Source organism: Homo sapiens, chromosome 9 (assembly GCF_000001405.40).
Source record: "Homo sapiens chromosome 9, GRCh38.p14 Primary Assembly".
NCBI classification, from domain to species: Eukaryota; Metazoa; Chordata; class Mammalia; order Primates; family Hominidae; genus Homo; species Homo sapiens.
The window spans coordinates 14,993,265-15,019,999 of NC_000009.12; the positions used below are offsets into that span (position 1 = coordinate 14,993,265).

General features: G+C 38.0%; 1 pseudogene across 1 annotated transcript; it reads left to right on the plus strand.

Annotated features, from left to right (window-relative positions):
* The first annotated feature begins 62 nt into the window (after positions 1 to 62).
* LOC389705 (histone PARylation factor 1 pseudogene) lies at positions 63 to 26,460 on the plus strand (annotated as a pseudogene). Its single transcript, NR_003920.1, has 5 exons — positions 63 to 313; positions 3,900 to 4,059; positions 8,370 to 8,468; positions 24,091 to 24,263; positions 26,221 to 26,460. The product of NR_003920.1 is annotated as a histone PARylation factor 1 pseudogene (transcript).
* Positions 26,461 to 26,735: the final 275 nt, after the last annotated feature.

Here is a 26,735-nt window from a genome sequence, read left to right on the forward strand (position 1 = left end):
GAGGCTTTTGAACCCGGAAGCAGTTGGCTGCTCTCGGAAGCGGCCGCGGATCCGGGAATTCGGCTGGCGCTGCAGCTGCAGAATGGTGGGCGGTGGCTGGAAGCGCAGGCCCGGCGCGGGGGCGGGGCCGCAGATACTGCCAGAAAGGCTGTGGGGGCTACGCAGGTGGCTTTGGATGACAGCCAGGGTACCAGGAGGCAGCGCGTTTCATTCATGCAGTGACTATTAAGCTTGCTGTGTGTCCGGGGTCTGCGGTTTGCTGCGGGGACCCTGCCCAGGTCGCTGTTTCGCGCTCTGTAGGGGATTGGACCAGGAAAGTAGCGCCTCTGCATTTTCTGCCCAGCTCCTCTTGGCGCATTTCCTGGGGAAACGGATTAAGCCAACCAACGTTTCATTCATTCGCCCACCCAGATAGATTGGGAACCGATTACATACCAGACATTGTGCGGGGCCCTGCGGATTTGGGGTCAACCCGCCTGCCCCTTCTCCATGTAGAGCCTCCGGCCTGGGGAGGAGGGGCACAAGCGAATATGCATTCTACTGTGACTTTTTTGTTTGGGATTATAATGCTGGTGTGTAGAAAGTGCTATGGAAACACTGAAGGAGGATTTAACAAGTCCCAGGGGGTGTTAAAGAAGACTTTTAAGACAACTCTTTGAAAATGGGTTTTGAAGGCAGAGAAGAGTCTGAGACGTAAAAGTGTAGGAGATGTTTGGGCATAGTGGAGCGTTCGGCTTGGCTGGAGCCAGAGAAATGGGAAAGTAAGAGGGACCTGATCATAAAAGCACTATGAGAGGGGAGGGGGGAAAAGTATGTGCATTATCTCATATTTTACTACGATTTCGGAAGTTCTGTAACCACTACAGTAGCAATAAGGGGAATCAGACAGGAAGGAAGTGCCATTGTGATAACTAAAGTTTTAGAAAACTTAGTCTGGCAGTGTTATAAATCGGATAGGGTGTGAGACATTCTTGGAGGGCTTAATTAACTAGTAAAGGGCCAGTTGTATAGGCATTCTTCATATTGGGTCATGCATTCTAGGAATACCAGGGTAAAGGAGAAATGCAGCCTCTGAAGGGGACAGCTGTCCTAAATTCTAGTTGTTAGGGATATGGAGATGCTGAACTAGTATGTGAGTTAAGGCAGAGCTGAAAAAATTCTCTTTGAAGGTTCAGTGAAGAACTGCTTTGGTGGCGTGAGGTGCTTAACTAGAAATACAATAGCAGAAATGAAGGCGAGTCTATAGAGGCTATAACCATAATGGCCGGCATTTGCATATTATGTGCTAGGACTGTTCTGTGTATTTTTACATATAATAACTTATTCCTTGTAACAACCCTATGATAGAGGTACTGTATGCCCTTTTTGCAGATGAGAAAACAAGGCACAGAGAGGTTAAGTAACTTGCCTAAGGTTGGAAATCAGCTGGAAATCAGTAGGGTCAGGAGTCAACCCAGGCAACCTAACCATTAAGCAAAACTGCCTTTCAGCAAGGCAGATTAAGCCTTTTCTAACATCTTCAGTTGGAGCCAGTCTTTGAAAGTCTGACCAAAGACAGTTATAAAAACAGAAGATAGGATAGCTCGGGACTTCATATGTTCCTACTGTTCTATATTTACAGTTGGAGAAGCAACAGGAAGTGGTTGAGAATCTGCTGTGGAGCCAGACTTAAACCTGAGTTTAAATCCCTTCTCTTCCACTTCCTAGTTAGGGACATAGGGAGGTTAACCTCAGCAGCTGTAAGATGAGGTTAATAGTATCTAGTGCATGAGATAGTTGAGGATTAAATGAGTTAATTCACAGAAGGTGCTTAGAACAGTGAAATAGCACAAGATAAGTTCTCAATAAGTATGACTTACTACTTGTTTTTACTATTATATTATCTTTACTATTACTATTTGCTATTGATACTCACTTTTGGATTCATTTTTCAACAGCCTTTTTGTTCAGCGTCATTCTTTTTTAAATCAGATGCATTATAATCCTTGGCACAATAAACTGTTACCATTGTTCAATTCATGATTGTTTTTGAGCTTATTTATGTTAAGTAATATAACAAACACCTGTGAACCCATTGCCCAACCCTAAAACTGAAACAGTAGTTCTACATCTACACATGTCCCTCTCCTCTCCCTTCAGCCTTCTTTCTGTCACTCATGTTCAATGTAGCTATCCTGAATTTTGTTTTCCCTTGCCTTTTAAAAATAGGCTCATCTCCTATGAATGTATACCTAAATAATATTTATTTTTAGTTTTTGAAATTCATAAAAAGGCTATCATGCTGCATATAATCAAGAACTTTTTTCCTCATTAAAAATATTTAATATAGATAGGTCCATATTGTGTAGCCATACAGTAACCATTTGGTAAATGAAGGAGATTGGTTCCAGGACTCTCACATATCCCAAAACCCGAGCATACCCAAGTTCCAAAGTTGGTCCTGTGGAACCCGAGTATACAAAAAGTTGGCCCTCTCTCTAAGTGGATTTCACATCCTAAGAATACTGTTATTTTCCAGTCTGCATTTGGTTGGAAAAAAAATTCATGTATAAGTGGGTCCACAAAATTCAAACCCTTGTTGCTCAAGGGTCAACTGTAATATTAAGTGTAATAGTCTATTGTTTGGAAGCCTTATAACCATTCTACCAATAGGCATTTGTTCTGTTTTGTTTGCTCTTTAAATCATTGCCATCATGATTATTCTTATGTCATCTGATTCATAAATACGTTTTGTAGATATTGAATGATACCTAACATAAAATTAATAAACTTCAGCCTACTGGGAAAATTGAAGAATATAAATACGAGAAACGTCTAGCTCAGAATTTCTCAACTTTAGCACTGTTGACATTTGGGGCCAGTAGTCTTTGTTGAGGATGCTTATCCTGGGCATTGTAAGATGTTGAGCATCCCTGGCCTCTGCCCCACTAGATGCCACTAGCACCCTTCTTCCAATTCGTGACAACTAACTAGGTCTCCAGATGTCCCCGGGCAGGGGTCGTGGGTTGGGGGCGAAAATCACCACCAGTTGAGAACCACTGCTCTAGGTAGGAAGAGTAAAAAAGAAAGAACTTAATACAAAAAGAAAGAATCTAGGTTCCTGGAAAGAAAAACAGATTGCATCTTAGAAAACTAAATGTATGTAACCTCCAATTAAGCATATTATCTTTACAGAAATTTATCAAATACCTAATAGGCATTATAAAACCTAGCACACTGAACCTATATTGCGGTGGTGCTAGAGATGATTATTGTAACCTAATCCTGGCCTTTTCTGAAATAATTGGATTTTTGGCCTAGAGTTTAGTGCTATTCTGCTAACTTTGTTAGGAATTGTGGATGTTTAACATTGTCACTAACCTTCCCTCTTTATTTGGAAAATCAAAAGGGAGGTATCTGTTTTTAAGGATGGGTAATGATTGTAGTGAATAGCTCAGACACCACTCTGGATGTTGCTGAAGAAACAGCTTTTTAACTGATGAATTGCTTATATCCAGTTACTTCTATTTGTTTCTGATGTGATCAACGAATCTGTTTAAAAGACCCACGTGGACCTTTAACCAAAAGAGGGCAAAACCTGCCCTTTCTTTATTCCTCTCTTCCTGCTCTTTACTATTTCATTTTTACCTTTTTGTTTTTTGTGGTTTCCATTATCTTAGAAAAATATATTTAAAGACTTGCTGTATGGATTCCTCTTAACCACCATATAAACTACTCTTTTTTTCTGTGCCCAAATTCCCAGATTTTACTCAATTACCATTTAGAGAGTTTTAAAGAAAACACATATACTATCTCATAGAGTTGGGTGAACAAGAGTGAGTGATACTGTTATGCAAGGAGAGTTACTGAAATTACTAAAAACGATTTGGAGAACTGAAGTTTTGTGTGTCAATTTTCAGTGTGAAAAAACAGTTGATGTGAAGAAAAGTAAATTCTGTGAAGCTGATGTCTCCAGTGACCTTCGAAAAGAAGTAGAAAATCATTATACGCTCTCTTTACCTGAAGATTTCTATCACTTCTGGAAGTTCTGTGAAGAACTTGATTCTGAAAAACCAGCTGGTGAGTTGCTCCAGAATCATTCTTGTATAAATGGAAAAAGTAATGTAATAGGAAATGGGCTGTGTGTGGCGGCTCACACTCTGTAATCCCAGCTGAGGGAGGAGGATCGCCTGAGACCAGGAGTTTGAGACCAACCTGGTCAACATAGCAAGACCTCTTCTCTACAAAAAAATAAAAATAATAAAATAAAAAAGCTAGGCATGGCTACAGGTGCCTATAGTCCTAGCTACTTGGGAGACTGAGATGGGAGGATCCTTCATTGAGCCCAGTAGTTCGAGGTTGCAGTGAGCTATCATCACTCCAGCCTCAGTGACAGAACAAGACCCTGTCTCTAAAAATATAATTGGCCAGGCATGGTGGCCCACGCCCGTAATCCCAACACTTTGGGAGGCCAAGGCAGGCAGATCACTTGAAGTTGGGAGTTCGAGACCAGCCTGGGCAACACGGTGAAACCCTGTCTACTAAAGATACAAAACTTAGCTGGGTGTGGTGGTGCATCCCTGTAGTTCCAGCTACTCGGGAAGATGAGGCACAATCATCACTTGAACCTGGGAGGTGAAGGCTGCAGTGAGCCGAGATCACACCACTGCACTCCAGCCTGGGCAACAGAGTGAGACCTTGTCTCAAAAAAAAATGTATATATATAAAATAATTTAAAAAAAAAAACTAACCAAGAATATAAACAGTTAATAGAAAAGGAATATTTTCCATGATGTTTCTAGTAAGAGAAAATATAGTAAGAAATATAGATTAATGCTATAGTAATGCCACTGTCACCTATTTTATTGGCAAAGTTAAATAATTTCATCACGTTCTGGGGGAATGTGAAGGAAGGTAAGCACTTTCATATGTTGTAGGAGTTTGAATATGATTTAACAGTTCTGCTTCCAAGAACTTGTCTTGACACAGGAAGGGGAACATCACACACCGGGGCCTGGTGTGGGGTGTGGGGAGGGGGAAGGGATAGCATTTGGAGATATACCTAATGTTAAATGATGAGTTACTGGGTGCAGCACACCAACATGGCACATGTATACATATGTAACGAACCTGCACGTCGTGCACATGTACCCTAGAACTTAAAGTATAATTAAAAAAAAAAAAAATACCAGTCAAGAAAAAAAAAAAAGAAAAAAGAACTTGTCTTATGGATTAGATAAACTAAGAATTATGTTTGAGGATATTTAAACAAAAAAAATGGGAAATGGCTTAAATGCCTACCAATGACACATCTCTTCAGTAGATCTTAATTGTTTTAAAAGAATGAGGCAGATTTTTAGGAAATAATAAACTATCATGCCTGAAATATGTTAACTGAAAAAGAAAAGTGTATAGATTATGCTACCATTGGTATTTTTTTAAAAAAGGGGAGTGGGGAGTACACACATATCCCTGTATACTTTTCTATGTGCTTACTTTGTCTCTGAAAGGAGAAAGAAACTGTTAATGGGCTGTGATCATTACTTTGCACTATATACCTCTTGTACTGTTTAAAATTTTTAACTAGTAAGCACTGTCATACACTACTGATGGAAATGTATATTGATGCATATTCTGAATTTTGCCAATAGATCAGAACAGAACTGTATAGCAGTTTCTTTAAAAATAGTCATGTCTGTACAAACATTAGCAAAGATGTTCACTGAAACATTTTTAGAACAGAAAAAAGAAATAGTAAATGTCCATCAGTAAGAGAATAGATGGTTACCTCTTTATAATGCAGTATCATGCCCTATTAAAAAATCATGTAAAATAACATTGAATAGCATGGAAAATAATCAAAAAATTTAAGTGCGTCAGGATGGAGGACAAAAGCAGATTACAAAACAATCCATCTGAGTTTGTTACATATTTGTATCTGTTCATGGGGGTGGAGAGTATGGAAATTTGTTACTGTATATTAGAGTATTAACTGTGTTATCTTTGGCTAATGAGATGGATGGTTTTAGTTTTCTTGTTGCTTTAAAAAATTAGTGTATGCTCTCCTAAGCTCCAGTTGTGCTGAACTATTTTTCCTGTCCAATTATCTCCATGCTTCTATTCATGTTATTACCTCTTACAGGAATTTTTTTGCTTTCCTCATCCTTGCCTCCTTATAAAACTGGGTCCTGCCTGGAGTGCTCCCCTCCCTCTTGGAAGCAGCAAGGACCCATTTGAAGTTATACATTGTACATTGCACAGACTTCATGTCTTTGTGGTTTAGTAACACTGACTGTGATCTGTGAATAGAGAAGGAAGATGGAATCATCTAGGGTTAGGGTTGGCCAAATAGATTGTCAAAGAGTGAGGGGAATCTGGTGTGATTAGCTGAGGTAGAGGAAAGGGGATATAAATGTTTTTTACTCTTTTTTTTTTTTTTTTTTTTGGAGACAAAGTCTCACCCTGTCACCCAGGCTGGAGTGCGATGGCGTGATCTCATTTCACTGCAACCTCTGCCTCCTGGGTTCAAATGATTCTCGTACCTCAGCCTCCCAAGTAGCTGGGATTACAGGCGTGAGCCACCACACCTGGCTAATTTTTGTATTTTTAGTAGAGATGGGGTTTTGCCCTGTTGGCCAGGCTGGTCTCAAACTCCTGACCTCAGGTGATCAGCCTGCCTCAGCCTCCCAAAGTGCTGGGATTACAGGTATGTGCCACCACGCATGGCTTGTTTTTTAGTACTCTTAATCCACATATTTTTGCTATCTTTCTTTCCCTTAACCTGTGTGTACTACAAGTATTTGAGGCTAATTGCAGTGTGGTAATGGGCCTACAGGAATACAAACCAGTCTTGCTTTGGCTAAAATAAGAAACAACAGGAATGTTTGAGATGTTAAGTTAATACAGTGGTAAATTTCAGAGGAAATCCTGTTTTCTGTTACTCTGACTTCTTTTCCATTGAATGTTTGTAACTGACATCTTCACACATAACTCAAGACTTTCTTTTACTTTAGAAAGTTTTTAAGACAATTGCTTAGAAATAGTTTACTCACTAAAAGCATTATTTCCTGTCTGTCTCCGGAAAGTATTGTCTAAATTTATTTTCTTTAGAGATCCACTTTCTGCAAGCCTTGGACTTCAATTAGTTGATCCTTATAATATCCTTGCTGGAAAACATAAAATGAAGAAAAAATCAACAGTCCCGAATTTTAACCTTCATTGGAGGTTTTACTATGATCCTCCTGAGTTCCAGACCATTATTATTAGAGATAAACTCAGTGCCACATGGGGTATTTCAGGTAAAGGATCTTTTCTTTGCCTCTAAAATACAGCTGCTGTCCTGCGAATGAGGATAAATAGTTATTCACTAGCCTCACCCAAGGTGAAAGGCATATTTTCCCCTGGATATATGAGCCATCTGTTGTTCTTGCTGTTACCATTTTAACCTTCCCTAGGATGGGTAAACTCTTTAGGTTTAATCTCACTGGTTTTTCCTTTCCTTATAAAATTTTTTTTCCCTTTTGGGTTCAGAATAACTCTTTTGGCCCAATAAAGCTAATTCAGAGCAGCTGTTGTGACTTGTACTTAATAAGCTATGTGCTTCCAGGTGCCAGAGTGGCAACTGGGAGCTAAGAGTGATCTCTGGAGTCACACTTGTCCTCCTGTTTATTGTCTGTGTGACCCTGTGTCATTAGTGACTGTGACTTTCTGTGACTCAGTCTTGTAACAATAGGAATAATAATTGTACATACCTGATAGGAATATTATGAGAATTAAATGAATGCATGCAAGATACTTAGTAGGTTAGGAAATAGAGAAACTCCAGGAGGAAAATACCTTGTCCGCTTGTACCAGTAGAGATGCTATCCTTTAAAGTGAAGATTAAATGTAAGGTAATAGAAGGAACGTGCCCAGGAAGAAGTACTGTAGTACAGTAGAATGCACATGGGGCTAGGAATTGATTGTGCTGTAGCCAAGGTCCTAACTTACTAGGACCTTGGCTGAGTAATTTAACCTCTCAGTATTTGTTTCCTCAATTTTAAAATAAAAGGATTGGTTATATACGGGAATAGGATCCTTTCATCTCTAATGTTTTACAATCCTTTTTCTTGTTTTTCCTTTTTTTGTATTTGAGTATAAAAGCAATTAGGTCCTAAGAATCTTAGTTTTAGGTTCCATTATATAAGTTAAGATTTATCATAGATGTTCCTAAGAAACTTGGAGCTTAAAACGATAAATTTGTTTCAATTTAAAAAAATTCCCTTATAAAAGAGGCCTTAAAAAAGAGGGGAAAAAAAAGGTGTAAGTTGTTGTCTGTAGACCTAAAATCCCACTTGCCTGATAATATAAATTATGGGCAGCTAAATTTTTAATGTCTTTTTCTCAAACAGGGATTCTCCTGATGAACTTCCTGTATATGTTGGTATAAATGAAGCAAAGAAAAATTGTATAATTGTTCCAAATGGAGATAATGTATTTGCTGCAGTCAAGTAAGAATATTTTATCTCAATTTCTCTTACGTTTATGTAGGTTTACAATGTTTATACTATATTAGTCCATTATAAAGGGGCTTTGAGGGGCTGGGCACAGTGGCTCACACCTGTAATTCCAGCAATTTGGGAGGCCAAGGTGGGCGGATTGCTGTGATCTGGAGTTTGAGACCAGCCTGGCCAATATGGGGAAACGCCATCTCTACTAGAAATAAAAAATTAGCCAGGGGCTTGGTGGCACACGCCTGTAATCCCAGTTACTCAGGAGGCTGAGGCAGGAGAATCGCTTGAACGCAGGAGGCGGAGGTTGCAGTGAGCCGAGATTGCGCGACTGCACTCCAGCGTGAGCGACAGAGTGAGACTCCATCTCCAAAAAAACAAAACAAAGCGGGTTTGAGGCAAGTCCATAACTGTAGATTTCTAAAGACAATTTCCATGACTTTTGCAGGTAGTCTTATCTATACTGTTATTTTGTCACTCTTCACTAGAAACTACACCTCTTATATAACTATTTTTCTTAATAATACTCGACCTCAGATGTTCCATGGCAAAATCAAAAGTTTTTTTAGACATCTGATTTTAAACACTTGTTAAGAGTTCATTACTTGTGTATAGTTCAAACAGAAAGGTTTAATAAAGTAAAAAGAGATGCTCATAAAATCCTTGGAATGGCTGAGGGGGCAGGCTGAGCTTCCAGGAATGACAGTTGTGTGGCTCACAGTGGATTTTATCTCTGCCACCATCAGGAAGCTGGGAAATCAAGAACTGCTGCCACAATGGGTGGGTCTAGGACCATATTACCTTTGGTATAACCTGTGCCAGGTAAATGGATGCCCTACCCTTTGCCTCTCAGCCCCTGTAATGCTAAGAACCAGGTGCTGGGATCTCAGCTACAGCTGCTGCAGAACTATCAGATGCCTCTACAGCAGTGCTCACTGATGGAGATCGTGGAAGCACAGCCTCCACCCGGTATCTCTTCTGCCTCTGAGATTTCAAACTATTGCAGCTGCTTGGAAGAAGCTAGATCCCATGTGGAGCCTGGGCTAAAGAGTAGTATGGGAAATGCAGCAAACTTTCATGGGTAAGGGGTTGGAATAGAGCTGAGTGAGCCGGTCTATGCTATATCAGCCACAGACGTGACTTGAAATGATTTCATTTGTCAGCGGCTGTGTAGTTTGCATTGTAATGAAGAAAGCAAACTTTACCACTTCAAATACAAGTAGATTATGTTTCGTTTGACCGTTTTTAGTACTGTCTCTTTAAAGGGCTTTTGTTCCCTGTGATTTGATAATACAAATTTGCAGTAAAGCAAATTCAAACTAAATCAACCTAGTACAACCACTAGACTGTGCTACGTACATACTACTGGTGTATCTACAGGGAAGCTACATTGTAGATGTCCAAAAATGTTCTTTCTTTTCTAATACCTCTCAGTTTCCTATAAAACCTTGCTTGGTATTTGTAATTTGTAAGTTCTTTTAAACTCTTTGGATTTATTATTCAATTTAAATTGGTGCTATCTTTATTAGAAACTGTTGCTTATTTTCTGTCTCTTGCACTAGCATCTAAGTTCCATGAGGGCAGAGGCTTTGTTTTGTGCACAGTATCTGCCCCACAGTAAATGCTCCATAAATATTAATTCTACAATACCTTGGCACGTAAAAACACCTAATTTTTTCAGGCTGGACAACATAGTGAGACTGTCTTTTTTAAAAAAACAAACCTAACTTTTCATTTGTATTATTAGCTATGTTTGTCTTAATAGAAATCTTTTTTAAAAAGGTAATATAATAGCGGTCATCTAACATAACCATAGACTCCTCTGGTATCCTTTTTTTTTAGCTAATTGGAGAACACAGACAATGAAAAAGAAAAAAAAATACATGATTGATAATATTTATAATTTAGGTGAAGATCAGCAAGTGACTACTTGAGGAACTACCTTCAATAATTTGTCTCAAACACAGGGGTAAAAAAATTATTTGAGATATAACTATTTTAGTAGTTTTAAAGTATAACGGTTTCAGTTTTTTGAGTGCCACCTTCTTAAATCAGCTAATCAGAACACTTAATTTCTTTATATATTTTAAAATTCATTTTTATGGCAGACAGAGTAAGGTCTTTCAAGGCAGACCTTTGATCAACAAATTTTTATGCCCAGAGAAAGAATTGTCTCTGCAAGATTTAATAGTAACTAAAGAAATGAAAATTAAGCCAGCAAAGATTTTTAAAGGTTAAAGAATGGTAATAACCAACGATGATTAGGATATAAGAACCCTTACTGATGTGTTAATTGGTAAAACCTTTGTAGAAAGCAGTTTGAAAAATGTTTAAAGCACCGTGTTCTAAGATTTCTTGACAGATGATATTGCCAGGTACCATGTGAAGTACACATTTATACCCTTAAGTTAACAATTCCACTTCCAGATATTCATCAAAGGGATTTTGGACAGGTACAGAAATATGTGTGTTTATTACAGATTGTTTATCAAATGAAAAATTGGCAACATATCCAGCAATAGAGGAGATTAGGTAAATATAAACTATCCATATACCATAATACCTTGGTATTGATTTGTTGAATTTGTTATGAAGTGGGCAAATAACAATAGTGTAGAATGATTCCATTTCATACTGTGTAATGCATATGGAAATAAACGCATTCAATTTTTAAATATCTTTGAACAAAAAAGTTGGGAATGATTTTTTTTCCTTCTGCCTTATTTTTTTTCCTAAAATAACTAGGGCAAATAGTTTTGACCTTGGGTCAGGGACTTTTAGGGTCAAAACTATTTGTGATAATAAATTATTTTTGCACCAACGGCACAAAGGTAATGGTGGATAATAATGTTGTCATCTTGGCAGGAATCAAGATAGTGCCACAAGAGTAGCAACAGTCATTGCATTATTCACAGCAGTACATGCAAAAGTATTTAAGAATGTTTGTGATGGAGCCAGGATGTTGAGGTGGGAGCGTTGCTTGAGCCCAGGAGTTCAAGTTTATCCTAAGCATCATAGCAAGACCCTGTCCCTGGAAAAACACGTCAGTGATGGAGTATACATGTGTTAGCTGTCTACCATTGAGTATATCTCTTTAACATTCTGTGGTGAAATAGGAAATACATAGAAAGCATTTCTCATACTGAAGTACTGTGGTTTGTCTCAAGGGAAAAAAAAGCACTTGTATGATTGAGTTTTGAGATGAACTTTTTCCCACTTTTAGAAAGACTGACTCACTGACAAAGTCTGGTTATTTGGGTCTAGATACTGGCAGAAATTTTTTCAAATGAACCAAAGAAAACAACTATTTTTTGCCAGTGATAAAATTCAAGGTTTCGAACAAAAAAAATAGATTGAGAAACTTGTAATACCACTGTAAGCTTGATAGCTTTTTTTTCTAATGTTATGTAATGGAGTGAATTTGATATATAAGCTTCAACATTTACATCTATATAATTTAGTGAACCACTGTTTCCAAAGGGCCATTGCATGATGCCATATAACATGCATGGGTACAAATTCTTTTGCATTCAAGGCATTCTAATGGATTTAAAGTAACAGCCCAAAATGTTCATGTTCATGGTTATGGCTTCAGTTGCACATTGCACCTTATCTTTAAGCATCACACAGCAGAGTGTTAGAGTAGGTTTAGGCACAGACAAAAACTTACAGAGATAGTTCATAATAATATCATATGTATGGGAAGGCAGCTACCAAGTGCCTTCAGTAGTGGCGGAGGTAAAAGAGGATATTTTATGTGGGCTTTGATGGATGCCTAAGAACTTACTAGAAAGAAACGAAAGAAGGATGTTTTAGGTAAGGGAGCAGTACGTGTGTGAAAGTGTGGAAATACACAGCATAGCATACTTGAATAGCTATATGCCATGCCAGAGTGTTGAGGATTGATTCATATAGGACTGACATCAAATTTGCATTTTATGGTTGATATAAACATATCCTCTAGACATACAGCTGGTAATAATTGAAAGTAAGATTTAGTATAACTGTGTGCTGTAATCAGAAGTTAGATTTTGGTGGCTTGGGTTTCTGTGGCACTTTATTTTTTTTTATTATACTTTAAGTTCTAAGGTACATGTGCACAACATGCAGGTTTGATACATAGGTATACATGTGCCATGATGGTTTGCTGCACCCATCAACTCATCATTTACATTAGGTATTTCCCCTAATGCTATCCCTCCCCGAACCCCCCACCCCCTGACAAGCCCTGGTGTGTGATGTTCTCCGCCCTGTGTCCAAGTGATCTCATTGTTCAATTCCCACCTATGAGTGAGAACATGCAGTGTTTGGTTTTCTGTCCTTGTGATAGTTTGCTCAGAATGATGGTTTCCAGCTTCATCCATGTCCCTGCAAAGGACATGAACTCATCCTTTTTTACAGCTGCATAGTATTCCATGGTGTATATGTGTCATAGTTTCTTAATCCAGTCTGTCATTGATGGACCTTTGGGTTGGTTCCAAGTCTTTGCTATTGTGAATAGTGGGTGGCACTTTAATCTACCAGCTGTACTGGTAACTCTACTGGTTTAATCCACTGGCTCTCTGAACTTGGGTAGGTTGATTATCTTCTGTGCCTTTTTTGTTTTCCTGATAAGTAAAATGAAGCTAAGACTATTATCTACTATAAATTTTCTAAGCCCTTTGATAACAGTGTTGTAGGGAATACTACAAACTCTCAGATGCTGGCAGTGAATAGAAGTGAATTTCTTCCTAGGAGTTGTTACTCCCTGCAACTTTCTTCCTGGGAGTCTGGCACTCCTTCCCACTCTTTACTCCTGACCTTTTACATTGATGGCAAAAATCTTAACCTGTTTACGATAAAATATAAAATTATTTCCATAAGTGGCATTAACATGCTGTATATTTACATGCTTTTGAAAACTACTTTGGATTATGCTTTTGTATAAGCTTATAATGTAGCTTTTCTTTCCTTTTACGTTTTCTAAATTTTTCTTAACACAAATTTCAACATTAAAAAAAAAAATCTATTGACCTTATTGTAACAGTGTCCTCTCTTTAAAAATGAAAAAAAAAAAAAAAAAAGGCTGGGCGCAGTGGCTCATGCCTGTAATCCCAGCACTTTGGGAGGGCAAGGTGGGCAGATCACCTGAGGTCAGGAGTTCGAGACCAACCTGGCCAACATAGTGAAACCCTATCTCTACTAAAAATACAAAAATTAGCTGGGCATGGTGGCAGGTGCCTGTAATTCCAGCTACTCGGGAGGCTGAGGCAGGAGAATTGCTTGAACCTGGGAGACAGAGGTTGCAGTGAGCTGAGACCCTGCCATTGCACTCCAGCCTGGGCAATAAGAGCAAAAAAGAATTTTTTTTTGAGATGGAATTTTGCTTTTTTTTTTTTTTTTGAGACAGAGTCTTAGGCTGGAGTGCAGTGACACAATCTCGGCTCACTGCAACCTCCGCCTCCCAGATTCAAGTGATTCTCATGCCTCAGCCTCCCGAGTAGCTGTGAATACAGGTGCATGCCACCACACCTGGCTAATTTTTGTATTTTTAGTGGAGACAGCGTTTCACCATGTTGCCCAGATTGGTCTCAAACTCCTGACCTTGAGTGATCCGCCCACCTCAGCCTCCCAAAGTGCTGGAGTTTTTTTTTGATGTCTACTTTTTTTCTGTTAGGTCAGACTTCTCCAAAGTAGTATGCCATATCTTAGTATCAAGTAATACAACTTAAAACTTGACTAATCTCAGCTTTGTAACTATTTCTTATATCTCTATTATAGACATTAGAGTGCTAATATAAATTTGAATAATATTTTCTCTGTTACTGGCAGTTTTTATTAATATTGCTTTTCTCTTATTTGAAGAAAACTATTAGGGATTTTGAGAAAAGTGTTGGTAAGTATTCTGTGGACTTATTCTTGCATGAAATTTGACATTTTTAACTTGGCTCAACTTCCAAACGTCTTTGTACTTAGTATAGTGGCCTGCAACATAATGAGGACTTTTACTTCTTTTTAAGATTATATTTGATGAAAAAACTTAAAGAAGTAACAGATAAAAAGAAAACCAATCTCTTCAAAAACGTAGATGAAAAACTCACAGAAACAGCCAGAGAACTGGGGTACTCACTGGAACAGAGAACCATGAAGATGAAACAGAGAGATAAGAAAGTATGACTCTAATCTGTTGGCCTCTGTTTTGCTATTTAGCAGATTTTTTTCCCCTCTTGATTCCTTCCCATCTCTACCCTGCCCTTCTTTTCTCTAGCCCTATCTTAGGAGCTGGATGCTGTCCCTTAGGGGTGCTAGGAGGATGGCACTGAAATGGGGGTCTGATGGCTCCTTTGGGTTGGTACACTGGTTGAATTGTATAACTGGTGATATCACTGCTGTGGTTGAATAACTCATGCCAGTATTTGCCACTCTTTTAATCTTGTTTTATCAGTTAATCACTTCATAAAGTTAAGTGAAAGCTGCTTTGTACATAATGAAATTTACATAGGTACGTTTTCTTCAGTAAACGTGTATATAAACAGTGCTTCTTCCTTTTTCCTTATTCATCTCATCATTTCCTTTTGCATCTCTCCTAATGTCTGCAGTGTGAGGGGAGTATTTTGTAAAGGAGCAAATACTTCTTAGTGTTGGATTCTTTTGGTTTTCTGCTATAGATTTCAGAGTAAGTTAATGACAAGCTGGAAGATTTCTGCTTTGGAGTAAATGAGAATTCTATAGGAGTTTGTTCTTATGGCCTCTGGGGGAAAAAAAAACACTTGTCACTGGAATGAGGGCTCCCCAGTCTCTTCCAGCCTCTCACTGTTTGTCTGCCCTTGCTGGTTCATCTGAATATTCTAAGCTAAATGGAGAAGTTGTTATTCCTTAATAAACTAGCACTGGTAATGAAGTACCTTAGTGTACTTAGGCATTAAATCCTACTTCAGTTCCTTCTCTGATCTTGATTCAGCTGCAAAGGTGATATTCTGATAAGTTCCAGGCACTCTTTCTTTAGTCCTATAGCCTGGAAAGTTTCTTAAAACGTACATTTTAATGAAACTCATTACAACATGGCATTTTAAAAGTTAAGATTTTATACTGCCATTTACCTTTCTGGTTATCATAGGAAGCGTCTCCCACCTTGTGACTAGGAGGAAGGGTAGCATTTGTAGACTAGTTAATGTATTCCTAATTTGTTTTGACTGAAGTCTGAGCATCAATATACATAATAGCTGTTAGCAAATTATTTTATCAGTCATATTTTTCTACCACAAGCTATAATTTATTTCAGAGGAGATTTTCTTAATTCTTCCCCATAAATAAGATATGATTCAGGTTTAAATTTCATAGATATTTTTGTCCTAGACCCCTCCCCCATGAAGTTTCATTTTAGTATTTGTTCTTTATACAGAAACAGCTGGTAAAAACAAAGACAAAAAAGAACTTACAAGACAATCATGTTTTTAATCCACCCCCGTTGATGATTATACTTTCAAACCCTTTTCTGTTATTGTAAGGTTGTTCTTCTATTGTTTTTGTGAGATCTTCATTTAATTCATATTTTTCTACTGAAGAAATAAGTTCCACTAGTATATGTGAGTTAGTGGCTTTGTCCTTGCGTGTAAGAATATATCCTCTCTAGTATGATAGAGTACTGTACAGCACACTAGAAATCAGTGTTTTTATACTGACAGTAACTTAATATACTTTGGAATGCAGAGTCCTTATATCATTTGACTCCCTACAACAAATCTGCAAAGTTGGGATTATCATCCTATTTTATAGATAAGTAAATTGAGGGTTATAGAGGTTTGTGTGTCTTGCCCAAAATCTTAAATGACACATGCAAAACCCAACTTCATACTTTCCATATTTAGCATTCTTTCCACCCCATCTTCTTATTAATTGGCTCTCTGCCACTTCACCTTTTCCATACCAATGTTCTTCATAAGGAACATTGGTTAAATATGCATAAAATGATGGTGTGTCACTCCATCCACCTGTAGTCTGATGCTTCAGGATGTCACCCACTCCTATACAGTTTTCCTAAGTTTGTAATCTTATTCTTCATAATCAAATTACGATTCTGATGACTTCTTAATTGATACCTCTTTATGGACAATTAGTAAGGTAATCATCTGTAAAAAATCTGAACATACATCTACCATGGTTCCTACTGTATGTTGTTCAGCCTGAGATGGCAACTATAGCACTGCTGTCTTTTTCTTTATCACTGCTTTATGTCTCACCTTTTACACTTATGAATATGTTATGTTTATCATTTCATATTGCCAATTTAAGATCTACCTCATAATTTTGAGTGGCTGCAGAATACTGTGCTTATGTTCAAAGTTTGGGTCGCTTAAGATTTTTCGCAAATACAGACAACCCTGCCATAGATATCCTTTTATACCTTTATTCGCATACTTACCTGGTTCTTTTTTTAGAAGAAATTCCTAGACATAGTATTACCAGGTCCAAAGTATTGTGTGTGTGTGTGTGTGTGTGTGCGCGCGCGCCTGTGTGTGGTTTTTCTTTGCTTGTTTCTAATTTTGTGGAGTTTTCTTTAGTCCTTTTGGTTTTTTCCATGCTGGTAGGTATAAAATTCTGCATTGTTTTAATTAGCATTTCTTTAATTATAAAGGATGTTAAATATTTTTTACTTTTGTTGCCATGGTATTTTTTTTTGACTGCCTGAACTCTGCCCATTTTTCTATCAGGGTTAGAATTAGTCTTGTTCTTACATGTGTTCTAACTTGGATGTTAGTGTTTTCCTTTGTTAGGCTTCTTTATAAAGACATTAATTTTTATTTACTGTTATATTTTGCAGATGTATTTTATCAGTTTGTCCTGTGTTCTTGATTTCACTAGTTTATTTTTATACAGTCAACTTTTTCTTCTCCATCACAAAATTATTTTTTAATTTACCTTCTAGCAGTTTTATGGTTTTATTTTTACATTTAATTCTGAAATCCAGCTGCAAATTATCTTGATATAAAGATTACAATAGAAGACAATGACTTCCTTTTTTCCCAAGTGGTAAGCAGTTGTGTAATAACTTTCTTTGAATAATCTGCCCTTTCTGGCAGCTTAATAAAGGGTGATGAAAGAAGCAAGAGACTGGGAGAATAGGGAGATTCAAGAGAAAAAGACTTTAAGATATAGAGACTTAGGTGAGAAGCCTTTAAAATTGGAGTTTGCTTTTTGGGTTATGTGCTTCCTCTGCCTTGGAAACTTTTCACTGAATTGCACAAAGAAGTGGAATATTTGTACAGATGTTTTGTTAAGGAAAGACCTAAAAATAGTGCCACTAACATGAATTAAAGGAAGAATGGAAACTGGAAGGGTTATGGTGGTAGTTGTAGTTGGGCCTGTTTTTGTCTTTGAAGACTAACACTTGATAAAAGCTCACTGGTTATGTGATTTGCCTCCGTAAAAGACACCACAAACCTAGAAACTGCCCTACTTTTGGGAAGTTTTCCAACAAGCCTAAATATTCCAGATAAAAATAGGGGGGTCTGAATTTGGCAGGATGGAGGAGAGGAGTTCTGTCCTACCATATCCTCTTGCTGACAAAAACTGTTTCTTACCGTCTTTCTTTTAGACCCAGGTTCTTCTGTGCTTTCTACCAAGAAGGTACTTTGACCTTAGAGGAAACTGATATTTTGGCTTGCCTTCTAGGATGTATTGGGTTCTTCCTTAACAAATCAGGATGCAGACTTCCAAGTGACTGGCACAATTAAGAAAAGCCAATTATTTAACTGTTCTGTGATTACTTCAAGTGTTTGACTTTTAGCTAGTTTTTGAGAAAAAAGTAGTGTTAAATTTTTACCCTAGAGTCCAAATTTACTGAAATAAAATGTCATTGAATGTTACATTTTGGCAGAAATGTTGAGGGTTTATGTATTTGGGTTTTTTTTTTAATGTCTATTTACCATGATTACATTTTATTCTTTTCTTTAACATAACATAGGTTGTGACAAAGACCTTTCACGGTACAGGCCTGGTTCCTCCAGTAGATAAAAATGTTGTTGGATACAGAGAGCTCCCTGAAACAGATGGTAATATATTTCATATGTAAACACATGCATATATGTTAATGCATATGTAGGAAAGTTTTGCTTATATTGGGAAGTAGGTATTTCCATATAACTTTTGTGAGACAGTCGCTAGACCTTGGTAATAAAGAGTAAGCTTTGGTTTTAGGGTCAGTCATTCCTGAATTAAAACTGAGTTCATAGCTGTGTGGCCTTGAACAAATTATTTAACCCCACGAAACCTTGTCTTTTTCATCTGTAAAATGAAGTTAATGATAATCACTTCATAGGGGAATTTGGGGTATAAACAAGTATTAAGATACTTAGCAAAATGCTTGCCTCAGTGCTCAAAATTTGGTAGTTATTTTTAAGAATTTAAAGAATTTTAACCTATTGCCTACTTTTTTGGAACTACTTCCAAACCTTTGACATTACAGTCAGCTTGCAAAACAGTAATTTTTGAAATAGTGTTTTTATGGTTCTTTGTGAACATTTTTTCATCTGCATGTAAAATGATTTAGCCTTCAGAAGCCCAAGATCCTGAACTACTTCATAAATAAGTATAAAAACGCTTTCAAAATGGACCACTGCACATAATCTAGTTATTGCCATCTTGAACATCGGGAATTAAAATCGCTTCTCAACTCTTTTCCCCTCATCTCCATTCCCTTATTGTGAACAGCCCTGTTGGTATTCCTTTATTGATCATCCTGTTCTGGGGGGATAAAACTTAAAGGGAAATCAAACTTAGCAACTTCTCAAGGAACCACGTATTCCTGCCCAACACACGTGTTTGGCCACCTATTTTTCAGAACAGAACTAACTAGCATTGGTAGTTACCAGTCTCTGGGGTTGTGACCTGGACACCTGCATTTAAACCAGTTCTCTAATGCAGTTCTTCTCAAATTTTACTGTGCAGAGTCTCCAGCCAGTAGAGAGAGATGTCTTAGATGGCAGCTATTCATATGGACTTGTTTTTGCTGTACCCCTGCCACTTAGAGCAGTGCCATAGGGAAGATGAATGTGGCTAAGCTGTCCAGTGTGATGGCCACTGAGTACCTCACATGTGGCTGCTGCAACTAAGGAACAGAATTTGTAACTTGTATTATTTATTTATTTTGTACTCTGTGTGTGTGTGTATGAGAGAGACAGGGTCTCACTCTGTCACCCAGGATAGAGTGCAGTGGCGCAATTATCCCGTCTCGGCCTCCTGAGTAGGTGGGACTACAGGTCTGTACCACAATGCCTAGCTAATTGGTGTTTTTTGTTTTGTTTTCCATGTAGAGACAAGGTCTCACTCTGTTGCCCATGCTGGTCTCAAACTCCTGGGCTCAAGTGATCCACCCACCTCAGCTTCCCAAAGTGTTGGGATTACAGGCGTGAGCCACTGTACCTGGCGTGTAATTTTGTATAATTTTAATTAGTTTAAGTATGTAAATTAAAACAGGATTAAATGTTTCTTGTATTGATTATATGTTGACATAATACTATTTTGGGAATATGGGTTAAATACAATACCTTAATTTCACCTGTTTTTTTTTTTTTTTAGCTCCTCCTCCCTGCCCCAGCTGTTTCTTTTTTCATGTGGATACTGGAAAAAATGTAGCCTGTATTATATTACACTTGGACAGGCTGATCTGTCCTATATCTCCTCTTTGAAGCCAGAGGCAATTAGTCTCTGATGGGACCAGTGTGGGCTCTAGCTACTGGTCAGTCTTCTGCTTCTACTCTAAGTCATCTTCTTTTCATGTCTCTGCTCACAGAGAGAACTTTAAAAAGCATGATTATTGTGTCATTTGGGAAAGGTTGGGCACATTTGTTGTAGAGATGGGCAGTCTCTAAAACTTTTGGGGTGATGGATGTTAAATTGTAGTGCCCTGGAGTAAAGCCTGTTACCCTACTGTAGTTGTGTTTCTGGGGTTTTATGTCCAAGTCTAATATTCTAGGAATTAGATCCTTCTGTATTTAGTTTTGAAGCAGTAGCAAAATGTAAGAATGAAGGACCTAATCTTGTTCTTGACTAGTGTCGTTTCCCAGGAGGTACAATTGACTGGCAGTTTGTTAATGTGACAGTGATTAGTAAATCACAACTAAGTTTGTTCTTAACCCTTTGAAGCTTCTTACAATAACACTGTAACTTAGCAAATAAGATACCTTTTATTGAGCAATTCTTAAATGTCAGTGTCATGATTCACTATAACAAGTGATGTACACATATTTAATTCTCACCCAACTCTTTAAAGTAGGTCTTATTCCCATGTTCACAAAGGAAATAGACCCAGCATGCTCAGCATTAGTCAGTAAGGGGCTGGTTTTCTTTTTTTTTTTGAGATGGAGTCTCACTCTTGTAGGCTGGAGTGCAATGGCAGGGTCTCAGCTCACTGCAACCTCCGCCTCCTGGGTTCACGTGATTCTCCTGCCTCAGCCTCCTGAGAAGCTGGGATTACAGCCTCCCACACCATGCCCAGCTAATTTTTGTATTTTTAGAAGAGACAGGGTTTCACCATCTTGATCAGACTGGTCTCGAACTCCTGACCTCAAGTGATCCACCTATCTTGGCTTCCCAAAGTGCTGGGATTACAGGCGTGAGCCACCATGCCCGGCTGAGGGCACTGGTTTTCATACTTGGTTTTCTGACTGTAGAGTGCATACTACTATCTGAAGTAAGAAGAGTTGCCTGCCTAGTTGCCTGATTTTTACCTTGACACAACCACTGTAGCTTAATTTAAGTATTCTAGTTGATAGTAGTGGCAGGGATATAGTAAGAATTCAGCAGTGAAACTCCTAACTCATTAATTGAGTATCTCGAGTAGAAACATTTAAGGCTTCATTTTTGAATAGTTAATTTAAGGCTTCACTTACGTTCTTTAAGTTTGGGCTTCGGTTAATTGAAATTTCTATAGAATATTTTATGGCTGGAAGAACATATTTTTCCTTGTACTGATGGTGAGCTGAATATTTTCATCTCTGTTCTTCAGTGTTTTTCTAGCTTAGTAATTCACATAAGTTGCTTATTCTTTTTAGTCCACATGTGACTTGGCATGTGTAAAAATGGAAACTGTGATACTGGAAAGTGATAAACTTTAAATTATTTGCTAACAGAAGACAAATAGGTCTTCACTTCCATACCCACCCTGATTTGTAGTGGCTGCCTGGGGCACTGTGAGAGAGATTCTAAGGGTCCCAATCAATCAGTTACACCCATGGGTGCAGGGAGGAACCACTTATTTTCCATCCTTAAGGAGCTTTTTGGAGAAAGCCTCATCTGTTTCCTTGAAATGATCAGCACTGACTTTTCTGAAGAAAGGAAGGTCATGAAGCTTATGTAAAACAATTTAATTTTTAAAAGGTTTCAAACCAATAAAAAACGTCACTACTGTTTAGAGATAGTTAGAAACATAGGTGGTGAAGTTTGCCATTCGTTCAACATGATACTGATCTACCAAAAGTGGGAAAGGGAAGAAAACACATTTTGTGACTCGGGTAACAGCATGTATTCTGTACTGTCATCAAGATTGAATCAAATGATATTCATAGACTGGGGTTAAAAGCCCTAGTATATAGTATATTTTTATAATACCATCCTTGGTAATCATTTTTTTTTTTTTGAGACAGGATCTTACTCTGTCACCCAGGCTGGAGTGCAAAGGCATGATCACGGCTCACTGCAGCCTGGACCTCCAGCACTCAGCCTCCCAAGTAGCTGAGACCACAGGTGCCCACCACCATGTCCAGCTAATTTCTCTATTTTTTCTAGAGACAGGGTCTCGCCACGTTGCCCAGGCTGGTCTCAAATTCCTGGGTTCAAGCGATCCTCCCACCTCAGCCTCCCAAATCCTCCCATGTTAGGATTACTGGCATAAGCCACTGCACACAGCCCATCCTTGGTATTATTATACCTTATATTTTTTGTTAGTATCATCAGAACATTGTACCTCATACATATAATTTAAAATCACGTATCATTCTTGAGTATAATTGTTAATGTTTTAACCAGTCTTCCTCTCCCCCAGTATAGCAGCCAGCTGTTTGGAAGTGTTTTGTTGGTTTGTTTGAATAATATCCATTCTTTTCATTATTATTCTCAAAGAAGTACAGTTTGTCAAAAAGGACATGTAATTTGTCAAAAGGAAGTCTAATTAGACATTGTTGACACTTCCATCTCATTTGCATCCTGAAATCTGATGCACATTAACATCCAGAAAGAATGAAAAAAATCTTAAAAGCCAAAATTGAAATTTAACTTTTAAAAATATATTCTTCAGGCAAATATTAGACATTGTCTCTCTATTCTTACCTCAAACGCATGCTTGCCATGGCTACTCTTCTCCCACTTTGGTGAAGGTTTTAAAGGTTTAATTCTGCAGTGATTCCTTGTCTCTTACATTGTTGTCTTTTTCTGTTTTAATTCACCACAAGTCAGTAATTTTCTAACAAATAAGGTAGGACAGGGCAAAAAGAACAAATTTTGCCTACTTGGATCTTTTTTTAACCCAGCTGTCTCTTAGTATCAGGACCTTGAAGGATACCCAGAATCTGATGCTCGAGTCCCTTATGTAAGTTGGTGTAGTATTTGCATAACTTATGCACATCCTCCTGTATATTTCAAATCATTTCTAGATTACTTAGAATACCTAATATAACATAGACACTGTGTAAATAGTTGTTATACTGTATTTTTTTAAATCTGTATTTTTTAATTTTTTTCCTGAGTATTTCAATCTGCAGTTGGTTTAATCTAAGGATGTAGAACTCTCAGATTCAGAGGCAACTATATAGTGCATGGACCAGGCTGGCAAACTTTCTATGTAGGGCCAGATAGTAAATGTTTTACACTTTGTGGGCTACATAATCTATCACATTCTTGTTTTATTTTTCAACCATTTAAAAATGAAAAAATATTTAGTTTGAGGGTAGTTAAAAATGGGGTGAGCCAGGTTTGGCCCAAGTTTGCCAATTCCTGGACCTGTCTGCTGAATCTTTAAAGCTTATGTAAAATCATGATTGCCACCATGGAATAGACTTTCAAAAAAAATCATGACTGTAGCCGGGCGCGGTGGCTCATGCCTGTAATCCCAGCACTTTGGGAGGCCGAGGAGGGTGGATCATGAGGTCAAGAGATCAAGGCCATCCTGGCCAACATGGTGAAACCCTGTCTCTACTAAAAATACAAAAATCCCCTGAAAATGGTGGTACGCACCTGTAATCCCAGCTGCTTGGGAGGCTGAAGCAGGAAAATCCCTTGAACCCGGGAGGCAGAGGTTGCAGTGAGCCAAGATTGCGCCTCTGCACTCCAGCCTGGAGACAGCGAGACTCCATCTCAAAAAAATAAATAAATAAATAAATAAAATTTAAAAATTTTTAAAAAAGACTAAATCCTGTGAAATAGTCGCTAAGAAATCTTTAAGCCATTTTTAAGCTTGAATCCTATGTAGAAAAATTACCAAATTGCCATTCTAAATTACAGTGCTGCAGATTACTACCCGAGGTGGCACAAGTTGTACTAGTACAAAAAGTCTTAGGAGGAAAAACCCTCTTTGTAGTTTCTTTACCTCTGAAGACTGATTCATTTTCTAACTGTGTAGATAATCTTCTATATTATTGATTTCTTTCAGCTGACCTCAAGAGAATTTGCAAGACAATAGTTGAGGCTGCAAGTGATGATGAGAGACGAAAAGCTTTTGCTCCCATTCAGGAAATGATGACTTTTGTGCAGTTTGCTAATGATGAATGTGATTATGGTATGGGGCTTGAGTTGGGAATGGACCTCTTTTGCTATGGCTCACATGTGAGTAAAAAAAAAAAAACCTCCACTTGCCACCCCCCACCACACCTCCCTCCTCTCCCCCTGACACATACACACATGAATACATGCACATTTATACCCCCAAATTCCAGCAGAGGTAAGATAGGGATTCAGCTTGTATTTCAAAATGAACTTTTTGAAGTGATTTTTTTTAAAAGCAGATGTCCTAAAAACCTGTGAAATTCATCTTACATTCTAGCAAAGGTGAATAGCCAAGATTATTTGCATTCAGGCTTATATTAAAGTGAATTTATGTATTAGACACATTATAGGGATATGCCTTCTTGCTGTGTGTATACATTTGGGGCTAAGTATGGGGGTGTGTGCATACACCTTAGGCTCCATTTCATTTCGACTGTGGTGGGGGTATTTGTTATTGTGCTTGAATTCTTAGATGAAAAATATACTTTAAATTATTTAACCTTTATAAGAGATGCTGTTTTACCATTAACTAATTGCTCATTAAATAAGAAAATTTTACTTAATAGCTAAACCAGTGCTTACTCAACCATAGCTGGCTGAAGGTCAAAGAGACTATAAGGTGTAGCCGGCATGACATGCTTATGGGGCTAAACTGGTTGTAAATCACATCTTCTCTAGTGTGTAGGATTGGGCAAGCTTTCCAACACCTTTGTTTCTGTTTCTTTACCTGTACAAGTGTATACCCATCCACAGATCATTTAATTCTCATTTAACCTACTCTGTAACCAAGTCACAGAGAGGCAAATCATCTTGCCTAGGTTCACACAAGTAGTCTGGTTCCAGAGTCAGTGCCTAAATCAGTGCAGTAATTCCCAAACTGTAAAATGCATGTGACTCACCTGCAGACATTGTTAAAGTGCACTCTATCGGTAGGTCCGGAATGCGATCTGAGACTGCATACCTGTCATGCTCCCAGGTGACGGTAATGCTGCTGCTCTACAGACGACACTGGGAGGAGCAAGACTAAACCAGTAGCTCTCCAGCTTTATCATGATCAGAGTCATCAGGAGGGCTTGTCCAAACATACACTGGCGCTCTCCCCACCCTCCCCAAGTTTGACTGAGTTACAGGGTGGGTCCTGAGAATTTGCATTTCCAACAAGTGAAGTTGATGCTCCTGCTCAGGGGTGTACATTTTGAGAACCCTGCTATAAACAATATTATACTACTTTTCTTTGCCCACCTCATAGATAGTTATCAGTAAAAATATTCAAAATGTTTAACAGCCACAATGACAGTCATTAACCAATCCGAGTAGTGCTTGACCTGCTAGAGAGGCCCTAGCCATAAATAAGTAGAGCCATAAGATGTGAACCAGTGAGTAGCAAACTTGATTGTTGTGAGAATGAAATAACATGTAAGAGTTATAAAAAGGTTTAGCACAGTACTTAACCACATGTTAAGGGCTAAATGTTTATTATGATCAACAAAAAGGTGGTATATGTAGATAACAGCAGTAATCTAAAATCTTTTGATAAACCTAAGGCAGTGACTCTTAACAGGGATTGGGAGGCAGTACCTGTTGGGGATGGGGGAGAGAAGGAATTTGAGGATAAAGGGAATATGGCCTGAAAACCCACTTTCGGCTTAGCTATTCTTACCTAATCAATGAAGGAAAATAAAACTTTTGACTGGGAATACACTGGAGAGAATAAAAAGCATTATGGGCATAGTTTGGGGTGAGAAAAAGTTGATTAAACTTAGGGGAATAAGGAAACTCAAATTTAACTTGATTTTCTTTATTTTCAAGGAATGCCTTTAGTCTTTTAGAGCAACAAGATTGCCTCTTTGAATGCCAGGTGCCTGTCCCTAAATTGTGTTCCCTAATCACTTGAGGGTATAGCTAAAATGATTTTGGAAGTAGCCTTTGTTAAACAAGTGCTTTGTTTATATATTTTTTGCTACTTATTAGGATATCTGCTATGTTATCTGCTTAATGTTATATTTTTATTTTTCAGTATTTTCATAAAGTTGCTGGCCAGCTTTTACCTCTTGCATATAATCTGTTGAAGAGGAATCTGTTTGCAGAAATTATGAAGGATCATCTGGCAAACAGAAGAAAAGAGAACATAGACCAATTTGCTGCATGAGTAAGGTGGTTTGTTTGGTGTATAATATTTCAAAGGACTAGTATTAAACTTGTAATTTTTGTTTTGTTTTTAAGGAATACAAAAAAATAAACATTTACTAAAAATGTTTATAAGGTTCTTCTGCCTGGTTTTCCTTCTTTAATGTGCAAGCAATTGGCAGTCAAATCATCTAAATGGTAACCCTAATCACATTTTGGAAGACAACTAAAGTCACCCTCTGATATGTCACAGGAAGCCACTGTCTAATTCCTGTGGCTAACTAGACCATCCTTACAGAGTCCTGTTTCGATATTTATCATATGGGCAACTAAGAATATTTCTTCTGAGTCTTGAGTTAATAGCTATAGCTTTAAGGATTGGGTTTATGGTGGGTGAGGGGGGGA